At 48.8% G+C, this 22,971-nt stretch overlaps 1 protein-coding gene across 2 annotated transcripts, besides 3 other annotated features; it reads left to right on the top strand.

Annotated features, from left to right (window-relative positions):
• Positions 291–480: an enhancer, noted in NCBI's record as "active region_315". NCBI's record gives its function as "activates an Ori minimal core promoter by ATAC-STARR-seq in GM12878 lymphoblastoid cells {active_cell/tissue: GM12878}" and the evidence as "EXISTENCE:reporter gene assay evidence [ECO:0000049][PMID:35858748]".
• Positions 1,440–1,809: an enhancer, noted in NCBI's record as "active region_314". NCBI's record gives its function as "activates an Ori minimal core promoter by ATAC-STARR-seq in GM12878 lymphoblastoid cells {active_cell/tissue: GM12878}" and the evidence as "EXISTENCE:reporter gene assay evidence [ECO:0000049][PMID:35858748]".
• Positions 8,367–15,964, top strand: PLA2G2D (phospholipase A2 group IID). Of its 2 annotated transcripts, NM_012400.4 has the most exons (4): positions 8,367–8,444; positions 11,426–11,570; positions 12,290–12,396; positions 13,644–15,964. In NM_012400.4, exons 1-4 carry the CDS (start codon positions 8,405–8,407, stop codon positions 13,787–13,789), a joined length of 438 nt encoding a protein of 145 aa, NP_036532.1. In that variant the 5' UTR covers positions 8,367–8,404; the 3' UTR covers positions 13,790–15,964. The 2 variants fall into 2 exon arrangements, with proteins under 2 accessions (NP_036532.1, NP_001258743.1); NM_001271814.2 differs by lacking the exon at positions 12,290–12,396.
• Positions 18,220–18,369: an enhancer, noted in NCBI's record as "active region_313". NCBI's record gives its function as "activates an Ori minimal core promoter by ATAC-STARR-seq in GM12878 lymphoblastoid cells {active_cell/tissue: GM12878}" and the evidence as "EXISTENCE:reporter gene assay evidence [ECO:0000049][PMID:35858748]".

Raw genomic sequence — 22,971 nt, 5'->3', positions numbered from 1 at the left:
CCGCCTCAGCCTCCCTAAGTGCTAGGATTACAGGCATGAGCCACCACGCCCAGCCAATAAAGCTATTTTTAAAAACAGATTATGTGACTCAGCCTGAAAAAGGAAGGAAATTCTGACATATGCTACAACACAGACGAACTTTGCGAACATTGTGCTAAATGAAAGAAGCCAGGTAGAAAGGGAGAAATGCTGTATGATTTCACCTATGTGAGGTACTTAGTCAAATTCGTAGAGACAGGAAGTAGACCCTGCAGAGCCCCACCAACCTCATCTGCACATGGTAAAAATAGTGCCCAAAATATAAAATGTGCTTCAAGGAGCGAGAAAGATAGAAGATTCTGTGCGTGCCCAAGTGCTATTATTTCCTGTGGAGTGGATGGTGGACCCTTTCAGGCTAACCCTTCTGCCAGATTTCATGAGGCTATGAGCCCCTATGGGATCATATTAACAGGCAGAAATGGCTCTGTCCCACCCACATAAGTCAGCCCACCGGCCCTCCCAAAATAACGCCTTGCCATGTCAGCTGAGCATCTTCAGAAGCGTCTCGGGAGCCCCAGCTGCTCATATCCCTCTGCCCTGCTCCCCTGACCCCAGTGTTGACATCCACTCACAGCTACTCATGGAAGCCTTGGCACCCACAGAGATTGGGCCTACCCCAGGGTGCTGACCTTAGATTCCCCCAAAGCTGCAGACTCTCAGGGTTCCAGGAAAGTCGCCTTGCCTTCCAGCCTCAGAGCCATACACGCTCTGTATGGAAGAGGTGCGTGCCCCCAGTCCCATCCCATGCCACAGTGACACCCTCTATCACCTGTGCCTTGCATAGCCCCTCTCAGTGACCAGAGGGGTGCCAGGAGGTTCTACAGGGTCTCTCTGCAGTACTCCGGCCAAACCCACCAGACAATTATCTTGTTGTCCAGTCAGCCCTCCATTCCAACTCCTCAGGCAGGGCAACCGACTTCTGTGCAAATCAGTGTGAGCCCCTCACCTGCACCTACCGGACAGGCCACCAACTATCTGCACTGCCCAGGTCCCAACCAGCTGGAAAAGTGTCTGGTCACTCTGAGGACACTGTAAGTTCCTGGTGGGCAGGGCCTTGTCTTGCTCCTTCGTCTCTGCACCCTGCACAGTGTGCTGAGTCTGGCTGGGGCTGGCACAGAGTAGGTGCTCAAGAATGTCGGTGGAATGGAATCATGTGCTGGGCTCCTGTAGGACTTCCTGGAAATGTGCTCTTTGCCTCCCTTGAGCTAATACTAATAACAGCACCACCAAGTGCCATTATCGAGTGTTTGTTCTGCACAAAGCACATTGCCAAGTGCCGTGCATGCCCCACGTCTAGGAATCCTCATACCAATCCCACTAGCTGGGTATTATCAGTTTCCCCTGCCCCGTGTAACAGATGAGAAAACAGAGGGGGAGTCAGGATCCATGTCAGGTCTGTCTGACCACCAGGCCTCCTTCTGGATGCCCAGGGTCTGCGGCCTCCCACCAGATGTGGCCTTTATGAAGCAGCAGGGGGCTGGGCTGCATCTAAACACAGGAAAGAATCTTCCAGTAATGACCATCTGGAAGCTGCTGGGCATGGGGATTTCAAATGATTTTGAAAGTGCCTTCTCGTGGCCACTGGCTTGGGAATCCCCCCATTGCATGTGACCAGCTTTGTGTCATTCTGAAACAAGACTCTCTGGGCTTGAGGTGCAGAAAGAGGGCAGTTTGCCCTGCCCCTTGCCTGAGTTTGAACCCTAGACCTTTTCCTCCTGTTACTGACCACTTACCATGTGCCAGTCATGCTACCTGTAATCATGACAACAAGCCTAAAGGAGCTGCATCATTGGTGCCATTTTCCAGTTGGGAAACTGACGCTCAGAGAGATGAAGCACCCCGATCAAAGTAACACAGTTATTAAACTAGAAGCCAAAGACAGAGTTTTCTGATATCAAAGCTGGGGCTTTCTTTCTACTACATGGCCTTGGTTGCTCATAACCTGGAAGGATACCTGATAATTTGGAAGGATGTCCAAAGGACTTCCTGCTGAAGTTTGAACCTATTTTTTTTTAAGAGACAGGGTCTCAGCTGTCACCAAGGCTGGGGTGCTGTGGTACAATCACAGCTCACTACAGCCTCCAACTCCTGGGCTCCAGGGATCCTCCTGCTTCAGCTTCCTGAGTAGCTGGGACTACAGGGGCAAGCCACTCTGCCTGGATAATTTTTATTTTTGATAGAGATGAGGTCTGGCTATGTTGCCCAGGCTGGTTTCAAACTCCTGATCTCAAGTGATCCTCCTGCCTCAGCCTCCCAAAGTGCTAGGATTACAGGCACTACAAAAAAAAAAAATTAAACCATCATCCTCATCCTCATTATTATCATTCAAATGCATGTTAATGTAACATACATCCAGGAAAATGCACAAACCTTAGTGAACAGCGGGATGAATTATTGCAATGCGAACACACCCATGTAACCAACACCAAACAGACAGAACATCAGCAGCACTGCCTGAAGGAAGACCTCTAGTAACCCCCTCTAATCAGCATGCACAGCCGTGGGGAACGCTGTCCTGACTTGTGAAATCACACATGAGCTTGAGTATTGTGGAACGTCGTAGCAATGGAGTCTCACACTCTGTGCTCTTTTGTGTCTGGCTTTATTTTTCGTTCTATGCTTGTGGGATTCATCCATGTCCTTGTGTGTCATTGTGGTTTGTTGACATGGTGTTCTCATCGGTTGACTATACCGCCACAGGTCTCTCCATTCTACTGTTGACAGGCATTTGGGGGGACTCTCGTTTAATCCATTTCCTTTGATTCAGGTGGAGAAAAGTGGGTCACTCTCCCACAAAAGCTAATCTCTCCCTCCTCCCTCTTTCCCGCCCTGGGGAAGCCCTTCTCCTTTGCTTCCCTCTGATCTTGCAAACCTGTGGGAATTTGGAGCTTCATTTCAGATACACTCTGGCAGGCTTTCATGGTGAATGGAACCCGGGCAATGGGACTCTTCTGGTCAACAGGGCTTTGCACGGGAGGTCTCCTGCCATGGGCTGAGAGGATGTGCTGTCACCTAGGGGGGTATTCTTAGGAAGTGAGAAAGAGGGTCCACTTTCTTCTGGTCTGCAGCGAGGGTGGGGGCAGCCAACTTCTAGACTCTGCCAGCTCTTCTGGCTTTCACGGTTGTCTATGCTGGGCGGGTAAGAGAATTCATATGGCAGTGCTCCAAGACACAGTGACTCATCCATGGAATGGAGATTATGACAGTACCTACTTAGACTTATTATATGTGGAGTTCTTAGGGCAGTACCCCCCCCACCCCACAGTAAGGCGGGCTCCAGCAGAGCTGTGGTCTAACCCAAACTCTGCTGTGTACCTGCTGTGTGACCCTGGTCAAGTTTCTAACCTCTCTGAGCTCCAGCTTCCTCACCTGTAATATGGGAATAGCAGTGTCTTCTTCATGGTGTGGCTGTGAAAATCAAATGACATAAGAACTCAGGTCCTGACATATGGTAGAAACTCAGTCGGCAGTAGCTATTTCTAACAGAGTTTCCCCTCTCAGCATCTGATAGCCTTCCTGTTCCCTTCCACCCTCCACCTGGAGAGCTTGCCAGGTTGTGGCTTAACAGTATCATCAATGTTTTTCCAACTGTTGCCAGGGAAGTAAAAACACACAGACTTGCTGATATGTCCCAAGAAACAACGAGGCCCAATAGATACTAAGACCTGCTGATGGGCAGAAGCAAGGGGGTTTCAAATTCACAGACTTTCAGAGAAAGGAAAAGCCATGGAAACCTTTATATATTCATCCTCATTGTTAATTCTTCAAATGCAAATTATATAATGCCTTTTTTTCTTGAGATAGGGTATCGCTCTGTCGCCCAGGCTGAAAGAAGTGCAGTGGCATGATCGTGGCTCACTACAGCCTCAAACTCCTGGGATCAAGCAATCCTTCCACCTCAGCCTCCTGAGTAGCTGAGACTACAAGCCCACATCACCATGTGCCGTGAATTTTACTTCCTCTTCTTCTTTTTTTTTTTTTTTTTTTTGAGATACGGTCTCACTCTGTCACCTAGGCTGGAGTGCAATGGCTCGATCTCGGCTGACTAAAGCCTTGACCTCCTGGGCTCAAGTGATCCACCCACCTCAGCTTCTCGAGTAGCTGGGATTACAGGCACACAAGACCATGCCTGGCTAATTTTTGTATTTTTTGTAGAAACAGGGTTTCACCATGTTGGCTAGGCTGGTCTCGAATTCCTGGTCTCAAACAATCCGCCCACCTCGGCCTCCCAAAGTTCTGGGATTACAGGCATGAGCCACCGTGTCCGACCTCCCAGCTAACTTTTAACTTTTTAGTGGAGATGGGGTTTCACCATGTTGCCCAGGCTGGTCTTGAACTCCTGGGCTCAAGAGACCCACCCACCTCAGCCTCCTAAAGTGCCGGGATTACAGGTGTGAGCCACCACACCCAGCCTCCAAAAATCTTTATGTCTTCTGACCCAGAAATTTCACTTCTGGAAATCTATACTAAAGAAACCATCAAACAATAGAAAAATGCCCAGCAATGACACAAACGACAGAATTAGTAGTTGGAGGACATTGAAAGTTATAACTACAGTTGTCCTCCTTTATCTTCAGGGGATACATTCCAAGACCCCCAGCGGCTGTCTGAAAGCACGGATAGGACCCAACCCTATATAGACTACATTTTTTCATACATGAGCCATACAAATCTATGGTAAAGTTTAATTTATAAATTAGGCATGGTAAGAGATTAATAATGATGACTAATAATAAAATAGAACAATTATGACAATATACTATAATAAAAGTTATGTGAATGTGGTCTCTCTTTCTCTTTCAAGAGAGAGTCACAGCCAGTGTCACGGCTGGGCACTGTGGCTCATGCCTGTAATCACAGCACTTTGGGAGATCAAGGTGGGCAGATCACGAGGTCAGGAGTTCGAGCCTGACCAACATGATGAGACCCTGTCTCTACTAAAAATACAAAAATTATCTGGGTATGGTGGTGCATGCCTGTAGTCCCAGCTACTCGGGAGGCTGAGGCAGGGGAATCACTTGAACCTGGGAGGCAGAGGTTGTGGTGAGCCAAGACTGTACCACTGCACTCCAGCCTGGCGACAGAGCGAGACTCCATCTCAAACAAACAAACAAACAAACAAACAAAAAACCTCAGTGACCTGTATACCACAGGTCACTGAAACTGTGGAAAGAGAAACTGCCAGGAAACTGATAAAGGGGAACTACTGTAGATTCTCTATGTTTAAGGATATAAAAGAAGCCAGGGACAGTGGCTCACGCCTGCAATCCCAGAATTTTGTGAGGCCAAGGTGGGTTGATCACCTGAGGTTAGGAGTTCGAGACCAGCCTGGCCAACATAGTAAAACCTTGTCTCTACTAAAAATACAAAAATTAGCTCGGCATGGGCACATGCCTGTAGTCCCAGCTACTCGGGAGGCTGAGGCACAAGAATGGCTTGAACCTCGGGGGTGGAGGTTGCAGCGAGCTGAGATCATACCACTGCACTCCAACCTGGGCAACAGAGCAAGACTCCATCTCAAAAAAATTTTTTTTTAATTTGAAAAAACAAAGAAAGATGAGCATGTTAAGGAGAAGCACAGAAAATATTTAAAAGACCCAGATTAAATTTATAGAGAGGACCAAATGCACTGAGATGGGAAAAAAACAATGGATAGTATTAACAGCAGATCAGAGAATGCAGGAGAAAAGGTTAGTTACTCCACTTATTTTAAGCAGTGATGATGAGGGTGATGATGATGATGAGGAGGAGGAGGACGGGAGTCACTGCAGCCGACATTTATTGGTCTCTAGCTGTGGACCAAACCCTGTTCAAGTATCATCTTTTCATCCTCACTGTAACGCTATGAAGTAGGTACTGTCATCACCCCTGTCTTACATAGGAGCAAGAGGAAGACACGGAGTTAATAATCAGCTTGCTCCAAGTTAAACAGCCAGAACATCAGGGAGGCCAGGCTGTTAACCCAGTCAGTCTGGGTTTGAATCCCATCTCCCCAGTCCTCTTAACCTCCCATGTTGTGGTTACTGTAATGGCATTCCCTAGATCGGTGAGGCTTGGTGCCATGTGCTTTATGGACATTGTATCTAAATCTCACAGCCATCAGGGAAGGGAGGGACTGTTGACCCCATTTTGCAGATGAAGAAACCAAGGTTCCTGGAGGTGAAGTAATTTGCCTAGGGTCCCACAGTTGGTAAGAGAAGGAGCCAGGATTTGAACCAGATCTGTCTGATCCCAAACCTTGCCTGTTGGATGTGCCCTGGGGCTTCTGGATATGTCTGAGGTAACTCTGAAGATGGGGCTTTTGAGGACGCTTTGTAGCACCAATATGGTGCCTTCTCTCCCTTTAGGGAAAAGTCTTCTGGAATCAACAAAGGGCTTGTGGCTACTTTTGCTCCCATCCCTCCATACCAGATGGAGGGTGGCGTGAGTTCTGACAGGTAGCCACGTGGCCCGCCAAGAGTCCCTGTCTGGAGGATTGTCTATAGGGTAAGGTACCACACTGGTAAGTGCACAAGACTATTGAGCCTACATGGGAGGGGGTGCATCAAAAAATGTGCCAGAGGCATCTGCTTTGCTTGCTGTTGAATTACTTTGTATGTAGATTGTTGACACACATATGAGCTGGTCAGTTGGTTGACTGAGTCAAGGAACAAAGGCAATAATCAGATTTAAAAGGGAGGGAAGAGAAGACAGAGAGAGGGAAGCTCCTAGCAGTGGCTGCTGCTGGCATATTCTTTTGGATGAGCTGATTTGCTGGTAACAGAGGTCAGCCTGGGCATTCTGTCCTTAGACAGCCATCTAACAGGCATCAAAGCTGTGGGAACAAGGTTCTCGGTGGAGCCCCAGTGGCTGACCTTCTCTGTGTCGTGGCCATGTGTGTCCTCCCGTCAGCTCCTCCACCCAAGTTGGGCCGGCTTCACCCCATTTGCCTCATTAGGATTCTCACATGTAAACTAGGGCAGACCTTCTGTAGGGTAAGTTGTCAACACATATCAATTGCCTGCCTTCAAATTGTGTGTGTGCTTTGATTCAGCAAGTCTACATTAGGAGTAGATCCTATGGAAGCAATTCTGGACATGAACTGACTGAAATTTGGCCTTCTTTCACTCTACAGTCTAGATTAGTAAAAAAATATCAGAAGCCACCCATATATCCATCAATGGGGCTTCATTAGATAAATGGTATAGCAGTATAATAATATATATAATAGTATAATGAAATAGGAACCTGCCTTTTTCTTTTTGAGACGGAGTCTTGCTCTGTCGCCCAGGCTGCAGTGCAGTGGCACAATCTCAGCTCACTGCAACCTCTGCCTCCTGAGTTCAAGCAAGTCTCTGCCTCAGCCTCCCGAGTAGCTGGGATTAGAGGTGCCTGCCACCAGGCCGGCTAATTTTTGTAGTTTTAGTAGAGATGGGGTTTCACCATCTTGGCCAGGCTGGTCTTAAACTCCTGACTTCGTGATCCACCCGCCTCGGGCTCCCAAAGTGCTAGGATTACCATCACGAGCCACCGTGCCCAGCCAGGAACCTGCCTTTCACAATGTTACTAGAGAGGAATATTTAGTGACATAGAAATATGTGCAAGTTATATCAGCAAATGAAAAAATAGGCTACGAAGCTCTGCATATATAACATTTTCCTAATTTGGTTGGGGAAAAGTATGGAGAGAGAGAGAGACAGAAAGAGAGACAGGCAGCAACGGGACCACAGAGGGACGTACACCAAAATGTCAATGGTGCTTAATAGGTTTGCAGGTGATTTTAAGTTTATTGTTTAGGTTTTCCAAATCTTCTACACTGAGTGTATGTTTCTTTTATCAAAAAGGGCATGGTGGGGAAGCTAAGGCATGGTGCTCACACCTGCAACCCCAGCACTTTGGGAGGTTGAGGCGAGATGATTGTTTGAGGCCAGGAGTTCGAGAGCAGCCTGGGCAACATAGTCTTGTCTTAAAAAAAAATTGCCAGGCATAGTGGCTCATGCCTGTGGTCTCAGCTTCTTGGAAAGCTGAGGCAGGAGGATTGCCTGAGCCCAGGAGGTCGAGGTTACAGTGAGCTATGATCATTCTACTGCACTCCAGCCTGAGTGACAGAGTAAGACCCTATCTCAAAATATATATATATATATGAATATAAATAAATAAATACATTAAATAAATAGAAAAAAAATGTGTTTAAAACAAAACAAAAACAAAACAAAACTCCCCAGTGCCAGAAAAGTGGAAGTGAAAGAAGCATGTGTTGCCTCCATGAGAGTGGGGGCTGGGAGGGAGGGCTGGGCAAGGCTGGGTGGGGTGCATCTGATATAAGGGGGCAGCCTGCATGGAAAGGGACTGCCAGCATCTGCCTCCACTGCTCTGTGCTGGGATCATGGAACTTGCACTGCTGTGTGGGCTGGTGGTGATGGCTGGTGAGTCGGGGACGGGACCCAGGCTGGGAAGGGAAGGAGGGAGGCCAGTGTACCCCTGTGCTCTCTTTCCCAGATTAGGGGGCTGCTGCTCTGATCCCCAGGAGCCTGGCCCCCACTCCCCAATCCTTCTGCCCCTCTGCAAAGAGCCTTCAGTGGCCGTCAGTCTCCTAGCATGGTAGCTTCAGCCAGAGAGCTCTGGCTGGCCAAGCTGTGCTGCACATCTCTGGACTGCTGTGAAAGTTCAAACTAGAAGTCCAGCACCAGGGTCTGCTGGGCCCATGATGATGACGCTTTGGACACAGGTCACTTCACCCCTACCTCTCCCACTGAATAGGAGCAACCCGTACGAATGCATAGCACTCCATATTTTTAGAGCCGTTTCATGTTCATGATCTGCCTTGAACCTGGGAAGAGGGTTCCCTTGACTTTCGGTGAAGAGGGGGCAATTTCCATTTGATCTTAAGCAGACCAAATATAAAGTGCAGTTGCTAGCAAATTGGCCTTTTTGTCCTCAATCCATCTCAAAATTGTGATTTTGGAAAAGACTTGCATTTTAAAATGTAGTTTTATGTTATCTTGGGACTCTGAAATTCTCTAGAGGAACATGTCTCCAGGATTACAGCAAAAACCATTAGGAAATTTGCAATTGAGCTGCAAAAATTCATCTCTCAGATGTAAAGAGGGAAGACACTGTAGAGATCAAATACACAGATGAACCTGCAGTCAAATGCAGGCCCCGCCATCTCTTAGCAGTATGACTTTAGCCAAATCACCAAACCTTTCAATATCCTCATCTGTAAAATGGGTACAACCCCCTTCACAGGGCTGTTAGAGGGACTCTAATGGGAAAACAGACACTAAGTGTTGAGTAAACTTAAATAATAGCTTCACACATGGCACATGCATGAAAGATGGCAGTGGCACCTCCTCCCACCCACTGTGTCCATCCCTTGGGAGAAGGAGCTTCACCCCTGTCAGTGGCAGCCAAGGGTAGGAAAAGTTACCCAGGCAAGAACGGCTGACAAGCTAAGCCAGTTCATCAACACCTCCCCAGCCACAGCTCCAGCTCCGTTTCTCAGGCTGGGTCCTCCTCACCTTAAAATTATGGCAAGTAAGACCACCCGAAAGCATTCTGAATCAAAGCTGAATGTATTTTTCACATGGCAAGAAAGAGCTGCATCATTCAGGTGTGAGTTCAGTTTATGTATTTCTGAGCCCAGATTGAAAGGGCTATATTTAGGGCAAAAAAAAGAGGACCGGGGTACCCTAAGAAAGGCAAGATTCTGAACGCGGGGCTCTGGTTGATCTGCAAGGTGGACTCTCCGTTTGCAGTTGGGTTCCTTATCATGGAATCTAGGAATCTCTGATGGATTGTGTATGATTCCAGAGGGCCCGGGATCCTTCACCAGTGCAGCCAAAGCTTAGCAAGTCTTCTCTTGTACATGTCTTAACAGCTAGAGGCACCATGTCAAACAGGCGTGGCAACATGGACTCCCACACATTGAGGGGACGTACTGGGGACATGATGGCCCAGTCACTTTGAGTTGCAACCCAAGGCCACCTGTGTGTGGTCTCACTCTTTGTCCACTGCATGAGTTTCTCCCAACCACCCTTCCCAGCCCAACGGTCCCCAATGTGTGGCTCACCCACTGTGTACTATTGACTTCATTTGCCTGAGGTTGGGTGCGGGTTCCATAAGTAAACTCACTCGAAGAGGGGCTGCCCAGCCCAGTCTCCCTGAGACTCTGGGCTCCATCGGGACGTGTGCTCCCTGCATTCTCTAATCATCTCTAGGAGTTGCACACAGGCACAGCTCCATTCCCTTCTGCCATCTGTTTCTCCCAACCTCCCACTTGAATTCATGGACTTAATATATTTTATTTCTCCTAACTCAACATAATGCATTCCTCTCTTCCAGTAAAATAAATTCCCCTTACTATCAATTCTAATCAGCAGTTATTATGAGTGAAATAAAATTATCCATGAAAAGCACTGATTTCTAAATCATGCTGCCTCCCAGAAGACCCACACACTCTCTTTATTACAGACTCAGATTTTTCTAGGGGCTGGAGGTAAGAAGGGTGACTTGGGACCATTCTTCCTATTATGGAGTGGGAAATCAACACCCAGAGACAGAGAATGAAACCAGACTGTTGTAAATGATGAATTCTGGCTCCATTTACCAGCCACTAAGACTCTGAGCAAGTTACTGAGCCTCAAACTGCTCATCTGTAAAATAGGGTTTAAAAATAATATTCATTGTACCAGTGTTGGTTTTAACAAATGAATCACAAGTAAGATGATAACATTTGAGGAAATTGGCTGAGGGGTATACAGGAGCTTTCTATCTTTGCAACTTTTTTGTACATCTGGAATTATTCCAAAATAAAAAGTTTATTTATTTAATATGACAGTAATTATCCAGCCAGATGGAGTCGAGAAATCAATACAAAAGAAGACCTATAGTAAGCACTCAGTAATTGTCACTTTTTTTCCTTGAGACAAAGTCTCACTCTGTTGCCCAGGCTGGAGTGCAGTGGCAAGATCTCGGCTCACTGCAGCCTCCACCTCCCACCTCAGCCTCCCAAGTAGCTGGGACGACAGGTGTCCACCACCACGCCCAGTTAATTTTTGATGTTTTGTAAATACAGGGTGTTACCATGTTTCCCAAGCTAGTCTCAAACTCCTGTGTTCAAGCAATCTGCCCACCTTGGCCTCTCAAACCCGAGATCATGCCACTGCATTCCAGCCTGGGCAATAGAGCAAGACTTTGTCTCCCAAAGTGCTGGGATTACAGACGTGAGCCACTGTGCCTGGCCTGTCGCTATATTTTTAATAGCAGTAGTAGATGTCGTTTTATTATTATCATCATCTGAGGTCACTCATTTGGTCTGGGCAGAGCAGAGGTGCCGTCCTGTGCCCATTGGCGCTGCCCTGAAATTCATCTCCTCTTCTCTCCTGGTTGCTGGGCTGCTTGGCAGGTGTGATTCCAATCCAGGGCGGGATCCTGAACCTGAACAAGATGGTCAAGCAAGTGACTGGGAAAATGCCCATCCTCTCCTACTGGCCCTACGGCTGTCACTGCGGACTAGGTGGCAGAGGCCAACCCAAAGATGCCACGGACTGGTAACTCCTTTCTCAGGGCTGGCAATCCTATACTGTCCCCGACTACGGTACTCTTCTTTTCTCTCCACCCACCTGTTCATTTAGTTGAGTTGAATCCATTTTGTTGAGCATCTACTATGTGCTAAATACCACTGGGTGCCAATACGGTCCCAGCCCTCCTGGAGCTTGCCTTCCAGAAGGTTCCCCAGGGTCCCTGAAGGCCAGACGCCCCCTTGCACTCCCATCCCCTACTCTAGTGACAATGCCCACATTCACTCCCCACTGCAATGGACGTTGGTTTTTAAAGCCCCCTCACCACCTCTTTTTTTCTGTTATCTCATTTGATCTTCATAACAACCCTGGGAGTCAGCTAGAGGAGCGGTGAGAGCCAGCCAGGCCTGGGGACACTGCCACGATCTGCCACTTACAGGCTGTGTGACCTTGGGCAAGTGTCTTGACCTCCCCGAGTCTCAGTTTCTTCATCTCTGAAGAGCGGATAATATGAGTACCTCCATCCCATGGTGGTTTTAAGGAGTAAGAGAGAATGCATAGATAAAGCAAGTGTCTAGTGCATAGGAATCGCTCAAAAAATGTTAGTCATCATGATCCTGAGGAAGACTGCAGCCCTGCAGGCCTTGACTCTTCCCAGGTGGGGACACGGGTTCTTCTCCAGTAGGGGGAGCAGCCAGAGACCCCAGTAGGCTGGGGACCCATGCAGCTGTGCACCCTGTCTGCTCCAGGTGCTGCCAGACCCATGACTGCTGCTATGACCACCTGAAGACCCAGGGGTGCAGCATCTACAAGGACTATTACAGATACAACTTTTCCCAGGGGAACATCCACTGCTGTGAGTACGCAGACCTCAGGGCAGGAGCTGGAGACCCCAGGAAGGGAGATCTGGCCCCCACTGCCTTCACAGCACAGCTACTTGACCTCTCTGTTTTTTTTTTGCATGGGTCCACTGGCTGCAGTTGGGCTGTGAAGAGGCAAGAATGGGTATGGGGGTATGGAGAGGACCCATGGGAGGTTTGGCCCCTTTAGCACCTGGAATTCAGGCCCACGACTGACCAGCTTGGTGACCACATTGCTTAACCTCTCTGAACCTCAGTATCCTCATCTGTAATCTACCCCATTAAGTTATTGCAAGAGCTAAAATGAGACAGACAGAATGGGCCTCACAGGATGCCTGCCATAATAAATTACACAGAGCTACTGATTGGCTGTTACTTTCATCATCACTGATGCTCGTGGCAGCCTGTCGAGGATCGGCAAAACCCTGATTATCTCCATTGTACAGACCAGGAAACCAAAACTAGAGTGGGGAAGTGTCTGCCTCCAACTGACAGAGCCTGGGCTGGAACCCAGGGCACCTGGCCCCTACATCCTTTCCAGCATCACAAGCATAGAAATGTAGCAGGTCCTCAGGGCTGGGAATCTAAAGGGCTCATCACAGCAGCTGCTGTTAATTGAGGGCTTCATAATAATAGTAACAATAATATCCAACATTTATTGAGCACTTACTATAGGCTAAGTGCCTTGTCTTGTTACTTTAACTCTCATGACAGCCCCCTAGGCAACTCTTGCCATTATCCCCGCTTCATGGATAATGAAACTGTGATCCCTCCTGCCCGGGAGTCTTTGCATAGACTGTTGCCATCCCCCACTCCCAAACCCCAGCTTCCTCCAGGAAGAGCAGACCCTTCCGATCTCAGCTCAAAAGGCTCTTCCACCCTGTTTTCTGATCTCCTAGCCCTGCATGGTTCCTCATGTTAACTTTGCATAGTTGTTTTTTTCCTCCCTGTGGTGCTCTAATACCTGCCCCTCTCTCATGTCCCTATCGTTCAGTCCTCTCCTGCCGTGACACGGTAGGTGCTCAACAATTGTTTAATGAATGGGTGAATAAATAACTGAAGGTGCAATGGCACACAGGGAGGTCACGGTACGTGGCCAAGTCATGCAGCTAGAATCGAGGTTGCTGGGACCGGTACCTCTACGACTGAGTAGGAACTGCACTGACTTCAGAGGCTGCTAGACTCATACCTGCCTCTGTCTCGGAAAAGGACAAACACATAGCTCCCCCTTCTCCGTCCACAGCTGACAAGGGAAGCTGGTGTGAGCAGCAGCTGTGTGCCTGTGACAAGGAGGTGGCCTTCTGCCTGAAGCGCAACCTGGACACCTACCAGAAGCGACTGCGTTTCTACTGGCGGCCCCACTGCCGGGGGCAGACCCCTGGGTGCTAGAAGCCCACACCCTCTACCCTGTTCCTCAGCATGGAGCTCTGGCATCCCCACCTCAGTATCTAACCTGAACCAGCCTGGCTTTTCAAACACTCCGGGGGGAGGTAGTCCCAGCCTCCCCCGGAACCCTCTACCAATGCCTTCTGACCTTCTGAAGCTTTCCGAATCCTCCCAGTTGAGGCAGTAGCTGTGTCCTCTGAGGGTGGATGGGAATCTTGGGAGAAGCCCAAGCAAGGGAGCCCTCAGAGGTGGTGTTTGGACCAAAGCATCGGGGTGGGGGAGGGGTCTGCCGCTGTCCCCCACCTGCTGGCCCCCTTGTCCTTCCTCACCCCCTCCAATATAGTCTCGGAGCTACAACCGCAGCAGCCACTATAAAGGGCAATATTGATCTTTCTGTCCATGTGGCTCTATCTTTTAAAACCTCAAGGCCCTCCACTGTCCTAAGATAAAGCCTCTCATAGGCACTGGGGACCCTGCACAGTCTGGCCATGTGACCCTCTCCCCAGGCAAGCTCTGAAGTCCCTGCAGGTGGAGGCCATGCCTGTCTTAAACTCAGTTGCATCCCTGGTGCCCAAAGCAACACCAGAACCAAGAAGGAGCTCCATAAATCCTTCTTGGGTGAAGCCTAGACAAAGCCGCCAGGTCTTGTGGCTCCAGGCACCAGAGCCTTGAGTACTTTCTCCTGCCTCCAGGCATTGGCTCAGGGTGAATTACAAGGGGCTACTGAATGGCTATTACTTTCATCACGACTGATCCCCACCTCCTCAGGGTCAAAGGGCTACTTTCTGGAAGTCTCCCCAGGCTGACTCCTTCTCCCTGACTGCAAGGGCTCACTCCCTCCTCCAAGCTCCCACAATGCTTCATGGCTCTGCCGCTTACCTAGCTTGGCCTAGAGTGGCAAATGGAACTTCTCTGATCTCCCCCAACTAGACTGGAGCCCCCGAAGGATGGAGACCATGTCTGTGCCATCTCTGTTTCCCCTGTTTTCCCACATACTAGGTGCTCAATTCATGCCTGTGAATGGCGTGAGCCCATAATGGATACACAGAGGTTGCAGCAGATGGTGTGGGTACCTCACCCAGATATCATCCAGGCCCAAGGCCCCTCTCCCTGAGTGAGGCCAGGTGTTGGCAGCCAACTGCTCCAATCTGCCTCCTTCCCCTAAATACTGCCCTGGTCTAGTGGGAGCTGCCTTCCCCCTGCCCCACCTCTCCCACCAAGAGGCCACCTGTCACTCATGGCCAGGAGAGTGACACCATGGAGGGTACAATTGCCAGCTCCCCCGTGTCTGTGCAGGATTGTCTGGGTTGAATGACACTCTCAAATTGTTCCTGGGATCGGGCTGAGGCCAGGCCTCTCCTGGAACCACCTCTCTGCTTGGTCTGACCCCTTGGCCTATCCAGTTTTCCTGGTTCCCTCACAGGTTTCTCCAGAAAGTACTCCCTCAGTAAAGCATTTGCACAAGAATCCTTGTCTCAGGCTCTGCTTCTAAGGAAAGAGACTGAAGAGGGACAACTTTTTCCTATGAGGACTCCCAATCTGCCATTTGTGTGTGGCTAGCTGTTTCCAGCCAGGGGGCTGAGGCACCTGCAGTCACCCACACTCTGGGCCTGTGGCACCATCTGTGCCTCAGCTGACTGAGCAGTTCTGAGATGTGGTGACTCATGTGAAGTGGTGTCATAGGAATGAAGGACTGTGGGCGCTGGGTTCAAATTCCAGTTCTATGCACCACTCCAGGTAGGGATACCCATGGGGGCAGCTGTGCCTGTGTGGGGGAACAGGGTAGGGAAATCTCCATACCTTCTCAATTTTGCTGTGAACCTAAAACTGCCATATAAAGATAAAGTCTAGGCCAGGCATGGTGGCTCATGCCTGTAATCCCAACACTTAGGGTGGCTGAGGCAGGCAGATCACCTGGGGTCAGGAGTTCAAGACCAGCCTGCCCAACATGGCAAAACCTCGTCTCTACTAAAAATACAAAAATTAGCCAGGCATCGTGGTGGGTGCCTGTAATCCCAGCTATTCAGGAGGCTGAGGCAGGAGAATCACTTGGACCTGGGAGGCAGAGGTTTCAGTGAGCCCAGATCGCGACACTGCACTCCAGCCTGGGCAACAGAGTGACACTCTGTCTCAAAAAATAAAATAAAATAAAATAAAATAAAATAAAATAAAATAAAATAAAATAAAATAAAATAAGTCTAGTTTTTTTAAAAAAAATTCCACTTATATCACTGACTAACCATGTACCTTACAGGAGGAAACATTCTCTGCATGTAAAGTATAAATGAAAATAAGAAGAGACCAGCCTGGGCAACATAGACCTCATCTCTACAAAAAATAAGAATTTTTTTTTGTTATTGTTGTTGAGACAGGGTCTTGCTGTGTTGCCCAGGCTGGAATGCAGCAGCATGATCGTGGCTCACGGCAGCCTCGACCTCCATGGCTCAAGTGATCCTCCTGCCCCAGCCTCCTGAGTAGCCAGGCACCCGAACACCTGGGTAATTTTTGTATTTTTTGTAGAGATGGGGCCTCACTATGCTGTCTAGGCTGGCCTCAAACTCCTGGGCTCAAGTGATCCTCCTGCCTTGGCCTCCCAACATGTTGGGATTACAGTCGTGAGCCACTGCACTGGACTGAAAATTTTTTAAAAAGAAGAGAATAAGAAGGTGTTCATGTTTGTATTAAATAAGATTAGCGTAGATTAAATTCTTAGCACAGCAGGCACCTGGCACAGGGTATTAACTTTAAATGTTAACGGCATGGTTAATGTTGTTGTTTCGTAGTGACCAGATCTAAAGTCACCCCCAAGAGAAATCAGGAGGAGAAAGTGTCCTCCTCCTTTCCCGCCAAGTCTTCTCTCAGTGACACTGGATGCATTTACTCAAGAGACACCATCGGGAGCTGATGACTCTTATTTGTCTACCAAATTTGGCCCAATAGCTCCCTATGGCTTTGCAGCAACATCTCTCTTAATATTCATGTTGGCTGACTTAGCCATTACGATCCCCATTTTATAATTGAGGACCCTCCTGAGGTCCCACAACCCAAGAAAGGCAGAGCCACAGCTTCGCCCCAGCCTCTTCTTGCTCCGCTCCCTCGCCGCATCACGTTTGTATTGGTTAAGAAGCTTCCAGCTAAAAACTGTGACTCATTGGGCTGAAACAATGCAGGCGTTTATGATCTCACATGATGAGACGTTCGGAGAGGAGGTGGTTCCAAGTCTGGCTCTTCGGAGCTTGATATCATCAGGGCCTGGTTTCCTTCCTGCTCCTGGCAAGCCACCTCTGTGTGTTGGCTTTGCCCTCTAGGTGACTCCCCTCACAGCTCCAAGCTGGCAACCATGATGCCAGCCCGCAGGCCAGGACGTGACAGCATCCAGCCAAGGAGACGCTGTGTCTTCCTCTCTTCCTGTGTCTTTTTGTTTGTTTGTTTGTTTGCTTTTTTGTTTGTTTTTGAGACGGAGTCTCGTTCTGTTGCCCAGGCTGGAGTGCAGTGGCGCAATCTCAGCTCACTGCAAGCTCTGCCTCCCAGCCATTCTTCTGCCTCAGCCTCCCGAGTAGCTGGGACTACAGGCGCCCGCCACCATGCCCGGCTAATTTTTTGTATTTTTAGTAGAGACAGGGTTTCACCATGTTAGCCAGGATGGTCTCGATCTCCTGACCTCATGATCCGCCTGCCTGGGCCTCCCAAAGTGCTGGGATTACAGGTGTGAGCCACCCCACCCGGCCTCCTCTGTCTTTTTAATAAGCCCCCCAGCACCACCCACCGACTTCTCTTCAGGACAGGCCGCCCTAACCCAGAGGTTACCCAAGACAATGGGATGAGCCTGGTTGGTTTAGATTCATTAGGATTTATTTACCCCCAAGACGGAACAGGATCAATGTCCCTGAGGGGTTGGGTAGCTGATGGAATTTGTGTTGGGCGAGCAAGCCCAGAGCCAGGGACTGCAACCCGCTCTCACTTTGGCTGGGAGCAGAGCTGTGCCTGGGGTGCTCCCATCTGTGACCACCTTATCACCAGGGCAGGCTTGATATGTAGTAGGTGATCAATAGGGATTTGTTGAACAAATAAATGAATAATGAATGAATCTCAGATTGGTAAAGACATGGGATTTATTTAGATTAGGAGGCTAGATGCTCAGGTGGGGCCTCAGGCAGCAGGACTTGGAATGTCCCACCCTGCAAGTTCTTGTCCTGGATCAGTGTCCAATGATTGAAATTGGACAAGAGGCAGCAAGGAAGGAGTAATTCCCAGGAGAGCCTCTGTTCTCCACTCACCCCTCTGAGTGCTCCTGGATGGCAGAGGCAGCCACTGTGCTTCCTGTTCCCTCTGGGGTTAGGCTCTGCCCAGTGTGGGAAGTGGAGTGGACACGGAACACCTGTGGTGCCCATTCACCCCTCCTCTTACCTACCTTGAGGTGCTGGTACTGTTACTGCATTTGACAGCTGTAGAAACTGAAACTCCAAGGGTGAGTCACTGGCTGATAAGTGGCAGGGTTGGGATTCGAACCCAGGTATCTCTGGCTCCAGGGCCATGTCCCAGTCTATCTCCCACACTCTTGACTGAGACAGTCCCTGACTCACCCCTGGGTGCTCCTATCGGGGGACTAGCCACACCCAGGGACTACCAGGTGGGGGTGATGTGTGTCAAAGGCAGAAACCTACCCATTGGTGGGTACAAGCCTCAGGCCACCTGGAATGCATGGTTCCACCTCCAGGGGGCCCAGCCCAGGGACAAAGTGACAGGGACGACTTCTCCAAGGCCCTGCCTGTCTTTCTGGCTGGATCCTGCTTCCAAATGCCCATGTTCATTCCCCACATCCTTGCCTTGCTTTGTTGTGCAGGAGGGGCTGGGCTCCTGCCACCCCCTCCCCACCCTATCTCAGTGTCCCCTTGAGGAGGACTAGGGGGCATTCACACTTGGGGTTCCTGACTGAGGTCAGCTGGAGGGTCATCCTGACCTCAGGGCACCAGGGCAAGCTGAATAGCCCATGTCTCCCACTGGCTGGCCTGGCTTGTTCTCTAGAGCTCAGAGTCCCCTATTTTTTTTTTTTTTTAATTTAAAATGAAGAGATTTTTAAAGCAGTTTGTAAAAGCTCAAAGCAAGGTCAGAGAAGGCAGGATGAGGATTCCTCTCTGGTCCCTTTCAGTTTTTGGTTCCTGGCCAAGCCCCGTTCACCTTGGGGCCTCTGCTGGGGGAAGCCTCCCCTGGGTCTTGGCAAGACGGGCTCCTTCTTCACCCAGAGCTCAGCTGAACTGCTTCTCCCTCCAAAAAAATGTCCCTGCCCTCCCAACCGAAAGCAACTACCTCCCACCCTTGGTTACTCCCAGTCTCCCTGCCCTGTTTTAATTCTCTGCTTTACACTTTCTGATGGTTTTCTTAATCAGCATTCAGCAATTCACTTCTCTCACCCCAACAATTGACTGGAATATGAATGCCTTGGACACAGGAAGGACCACAACATTCCCAGCATCTAGAACAATACTGGGGGCATAGGACATTTCTGTTGAATGAATGAATGAATGAATAGGGATTGATAGGAAAGCTCCTGCTATTTCTTTCAGCTGGGCTACTTCCCAGCTGTGTGACCTTGGGCTTGTGGTTTTGTTACAAGAAAGGGGTCCGGATCTGGACCTAAGAGAGGCTTCTGGGATCTCACGCAAGAAGGAATTCAGGATGAGTCCATAGAGTAAAGTGAAAGCAAGTTTATTAAAAAAAATAAAGGAATAAAAGAATGGCTACTCCATAGGCAAAGCAGCCCGAGGGCTGCTGGTTGCCCATTTTTATGGTTATTTCTTGATGATATGTTAAACAAGGGGTGGCTTATTCATGCCTCCCCTTTTTAGACCACATAGGGTAAGTTCCTGATGTTGCCATGGCATCTGTAAACTGTCATGGCACTAATGGGAGGGCAGGAGTGAGGACGACCAGTGGTCACTCTCGTGACCATTTTAGTTTTGGTGGGTTTTGGCTGGCTTCTTTACTGCAACCTGTTTTATCACAAGGTCTTTATGACTCGTATCTTGTGCTGACCTCCTATCTCATTCTGTGACTTAGAATGCCTTAAGCGTCTGGGGATGCAGCCCAGTAGGTTTCAGCCTTATTTTCCCCAGCTTCTATTCAAGATGGAGTTGCTCTGGTTCACACACCTCTGACAGTTTTACTTCTCTGATTCTCAATTTGTGATTAGTAAAATTAACCAATAACACCTACTCTTGAAAGGGAATTTTTGACCAAACCCTCATCTCTTTCCTACTGAGAACTTCCCACCAGTGAGAAGGTTGGGACAGGGTGGAAGGGGTGGGTGGGCAGGTAGGAAAGGCAGGGACATTCTGTCACCTCCCAAGCCTTCTCTCAGGATGATCAGAAATTAGCTCTTCACCCTCTGCCAGGAACACTCCCCCTACTTTCAGGAGGCCATTGAAGTGGGGTCAAAGTGCATTCTGCTCGTGGGCTGCCTCTGCTGGAGCCCCTTCCAGGATCCAGGGCTAGGCTGGGGTGAGAGGAAGCCAAAGCTGTCCCTGTTCCCTCCTCAAGGATTCAGCCCTGAGATGATGCAGCAGCTGTCACTGGCTCTGCGGTAAGCGTCCCTCCCTGCCCCAAACACCAGCCCAGGAACTGCAGAGCAGAAGGAAGGGAGTAAAATTCAGCCATAGTGCTTCTGGCTTCCTGAGAGGGAATGGGAAAATGCCAATTTCTGGGTTCCCGTGTGCTAAGAACCTTATATACATTTTCTCACTTACCCTTCATTCTGCATGACCCAGCAAGGTGGGTATGATTTTTTTTAAAAACGAAGGTGGGTATGATTGGCCACACAGTACAGATGAGGACACAGGTTCTGATGAGTTAAACTTCTTGCCTGAGGTAACTCACTCATGGAGAAGTGGTGGAGGCCACTTTGGGAGGCCGAGGCGGGTGGATCACTTGAGGTCAGGAGTTCAAGACCAGCCTGACCAACATGGTGAAACCCGATCTCTACTAAAAATACAAAAATTAGCTGGGCTTGGTGGCATATGCCTGTAATCCCAGCTACTTGGGAGGCTGAGACAGGAGAATTGCTTGAACCAGGGAGGCAAAGGTTGCAGTGAGCCAAGATCGCACTCCAGCCTGAGTAACAGAGCAAGACTTGGTGTCCCCCCACCCCCTGCCCCCAGAAAGAAATGGTGGAAGCTGGGCAAAAGTGAGCAAAAGCCATGTTAAGCCCAGGGTCCTGGTGCGACCCTCGCCACCCCAGGTAGTGTGCTCCCTACACTGGAACTGTAATAGGTCTGTTGCCTGGTGCACACAGCAAGTTAACACGATGAGACACCAGGTTGCAGCAGAGAAGGAAGTTTAAACTTAGGGTCACCAAACAAGGAGACAGGAGAGAACCTTAAATCCATTTCCCTGAGGAGTTTGGGGCTGGGGTTTTTAAGGGTTTTGGAGTGGGACAAAGTGTGGAGATCATTGAATGGTTGAAGAGTGCAGGTTGATGTCACGGGACAGGGAGAGGAAGAACATGCATTCTCATGCTGATCTCGTTCCTCTGTGAGAGTCTTCAAGCTGGTGGTTGGAATTTGGGGTTTGAAAAATACCCTAAGCAATCCTTAAACTAGTCAGTCTTGTGATTCTAATGTCAGAGATCATATCTATAGGAACAATGGGAATACCAATCAATTGTAGTGTCAGGAATCCTATCTATAGTAACATGAGATGAAAGTGGGTCAGTATCTAGTGCTTTGTGACTTTTAGCAACATGGAAGTGAGCCAATGTGCAGCCTGATTAATGCTTCATTATCACCATATTTCTGTCCAGAATTCTTGAGGATGGCTTCAAAAGCAGCAGGTCTGAAACTTTATGGTGGACAAAAAATCACCCAGGGGAGCAAGTTTACAATGCAGGTTCTCAGGGCCCCAAACCTGAAGAGTATGATTCTGTAGGTCTAGGGTGGAGCCCAGGAACCTGTATTTTGTAAACTGAAAATAAAATTCTAAGGCTCCCCAACCATTGGAATGAACTCCCTCCTCTCAGCCAGGGGCATTCCAAAGTTAGCCTGAAAAACTAGTTTCAGGCCATGATGGGAAGGAGAAGCCAGATATGCCTCATTAAACCCTCCTCCCTTTTGGAATTACTCATAAGACAGGATCTATTAAGCTGATAAGAAACATTTACAATCTATTAACTCTGATGCCTGCTCTCTGGAGTCTTCATCTGCATGATAAAACCTTGGTCTCTACAACCCCTTATCATCACCCAGACGTTCCTTTTTATTGATAATAACTTTTTCAACCAATTGCTAATCAGAAAATCTTTGAATCTGCCTATGACTTGGAAGCCTCTGTTACAAGAAAGGGGTCTGGATCCAGACCCCAAAAGAGGGTTCTTGGATCTCATGCAAGAAGGAAATCAGGGTGAGTCCATAGAGTAAAGTGAAAGCAAGTTTATTAAAAAAGTAAAGGAATAAAAGAATGGCTACTCCATAGACAGAGCAGCCCAGAGGGCTGCTGGTTGCCCACTTTTATGGTTATTTCTTGATGATATGCTAAACAAGGGGTGGATTATTTATGCCTCCCCTTTTTAGAGCATATAGGGTAACTTCCTGACGTTGCCATGGCATTTGTAAACTGTCGTGGTGCTGGTGGGAGTGTAGCACTGAGGACAACCAGAGGCCACTTTTGTAGCCATCTTGCTTTTGGTGGGTTTTAGCTGGCTTCTTTATTGCAAACTGTTTTATCAGCAAGGTCTTTATGACCCATATCTTGTGCCGATCTCCTATCCCATCCTCTGACTTAGAATGCCTTAACTGTCTGGGAATGCAGTCCAGTAGGTCTCAGCCTCATTTTACCCAGCCCTTGTTCAAGATGGAGTTGGTCTTGTTCTAATGCCTCTGACACCTGCACTTCCAGTTGTCCCGCCTTTCCAGCCTGAACCAATACACATCTTACATGTATTGACTGATGTCTTATGTCTCTCTAAAATGTATAAAACCAAGCCGTACCTCCACCACCTCGGGCACATGTTCTCAGGATCTCCTGAGGGCACTGTCATGGGCCACCAGTCATTCATGTTTGGCTCAGAATAAATCCTTCAAATATTTTGCAGAGTTTGACTCTTTTGGTTGACAGTTTTTAACAAGGGCTTCCCAAGATCCTGATGCACCTGGCCAGGGATTACGTGCTGAAAAGCGTGTAGGCCCCCCCTCCTC

This window comes from Homo sapiens, chromosome 1 (assembly GCF_000001405.40).
Source record: "Homo sapiens chromosome 1, GRCh38.p14 Primary Assembly".
NCBI classification, from domain to species: domain Eukaryota; kingdom Metazoa; phylum Chordata; class Mammalia; order Primates; family Hominidae; genus Homo; species Homo sapiens.
Note: the sequence above shows the minus strand (reverse complement) of the source record. Positions and strands in the feature narration are given on the sequence as shown.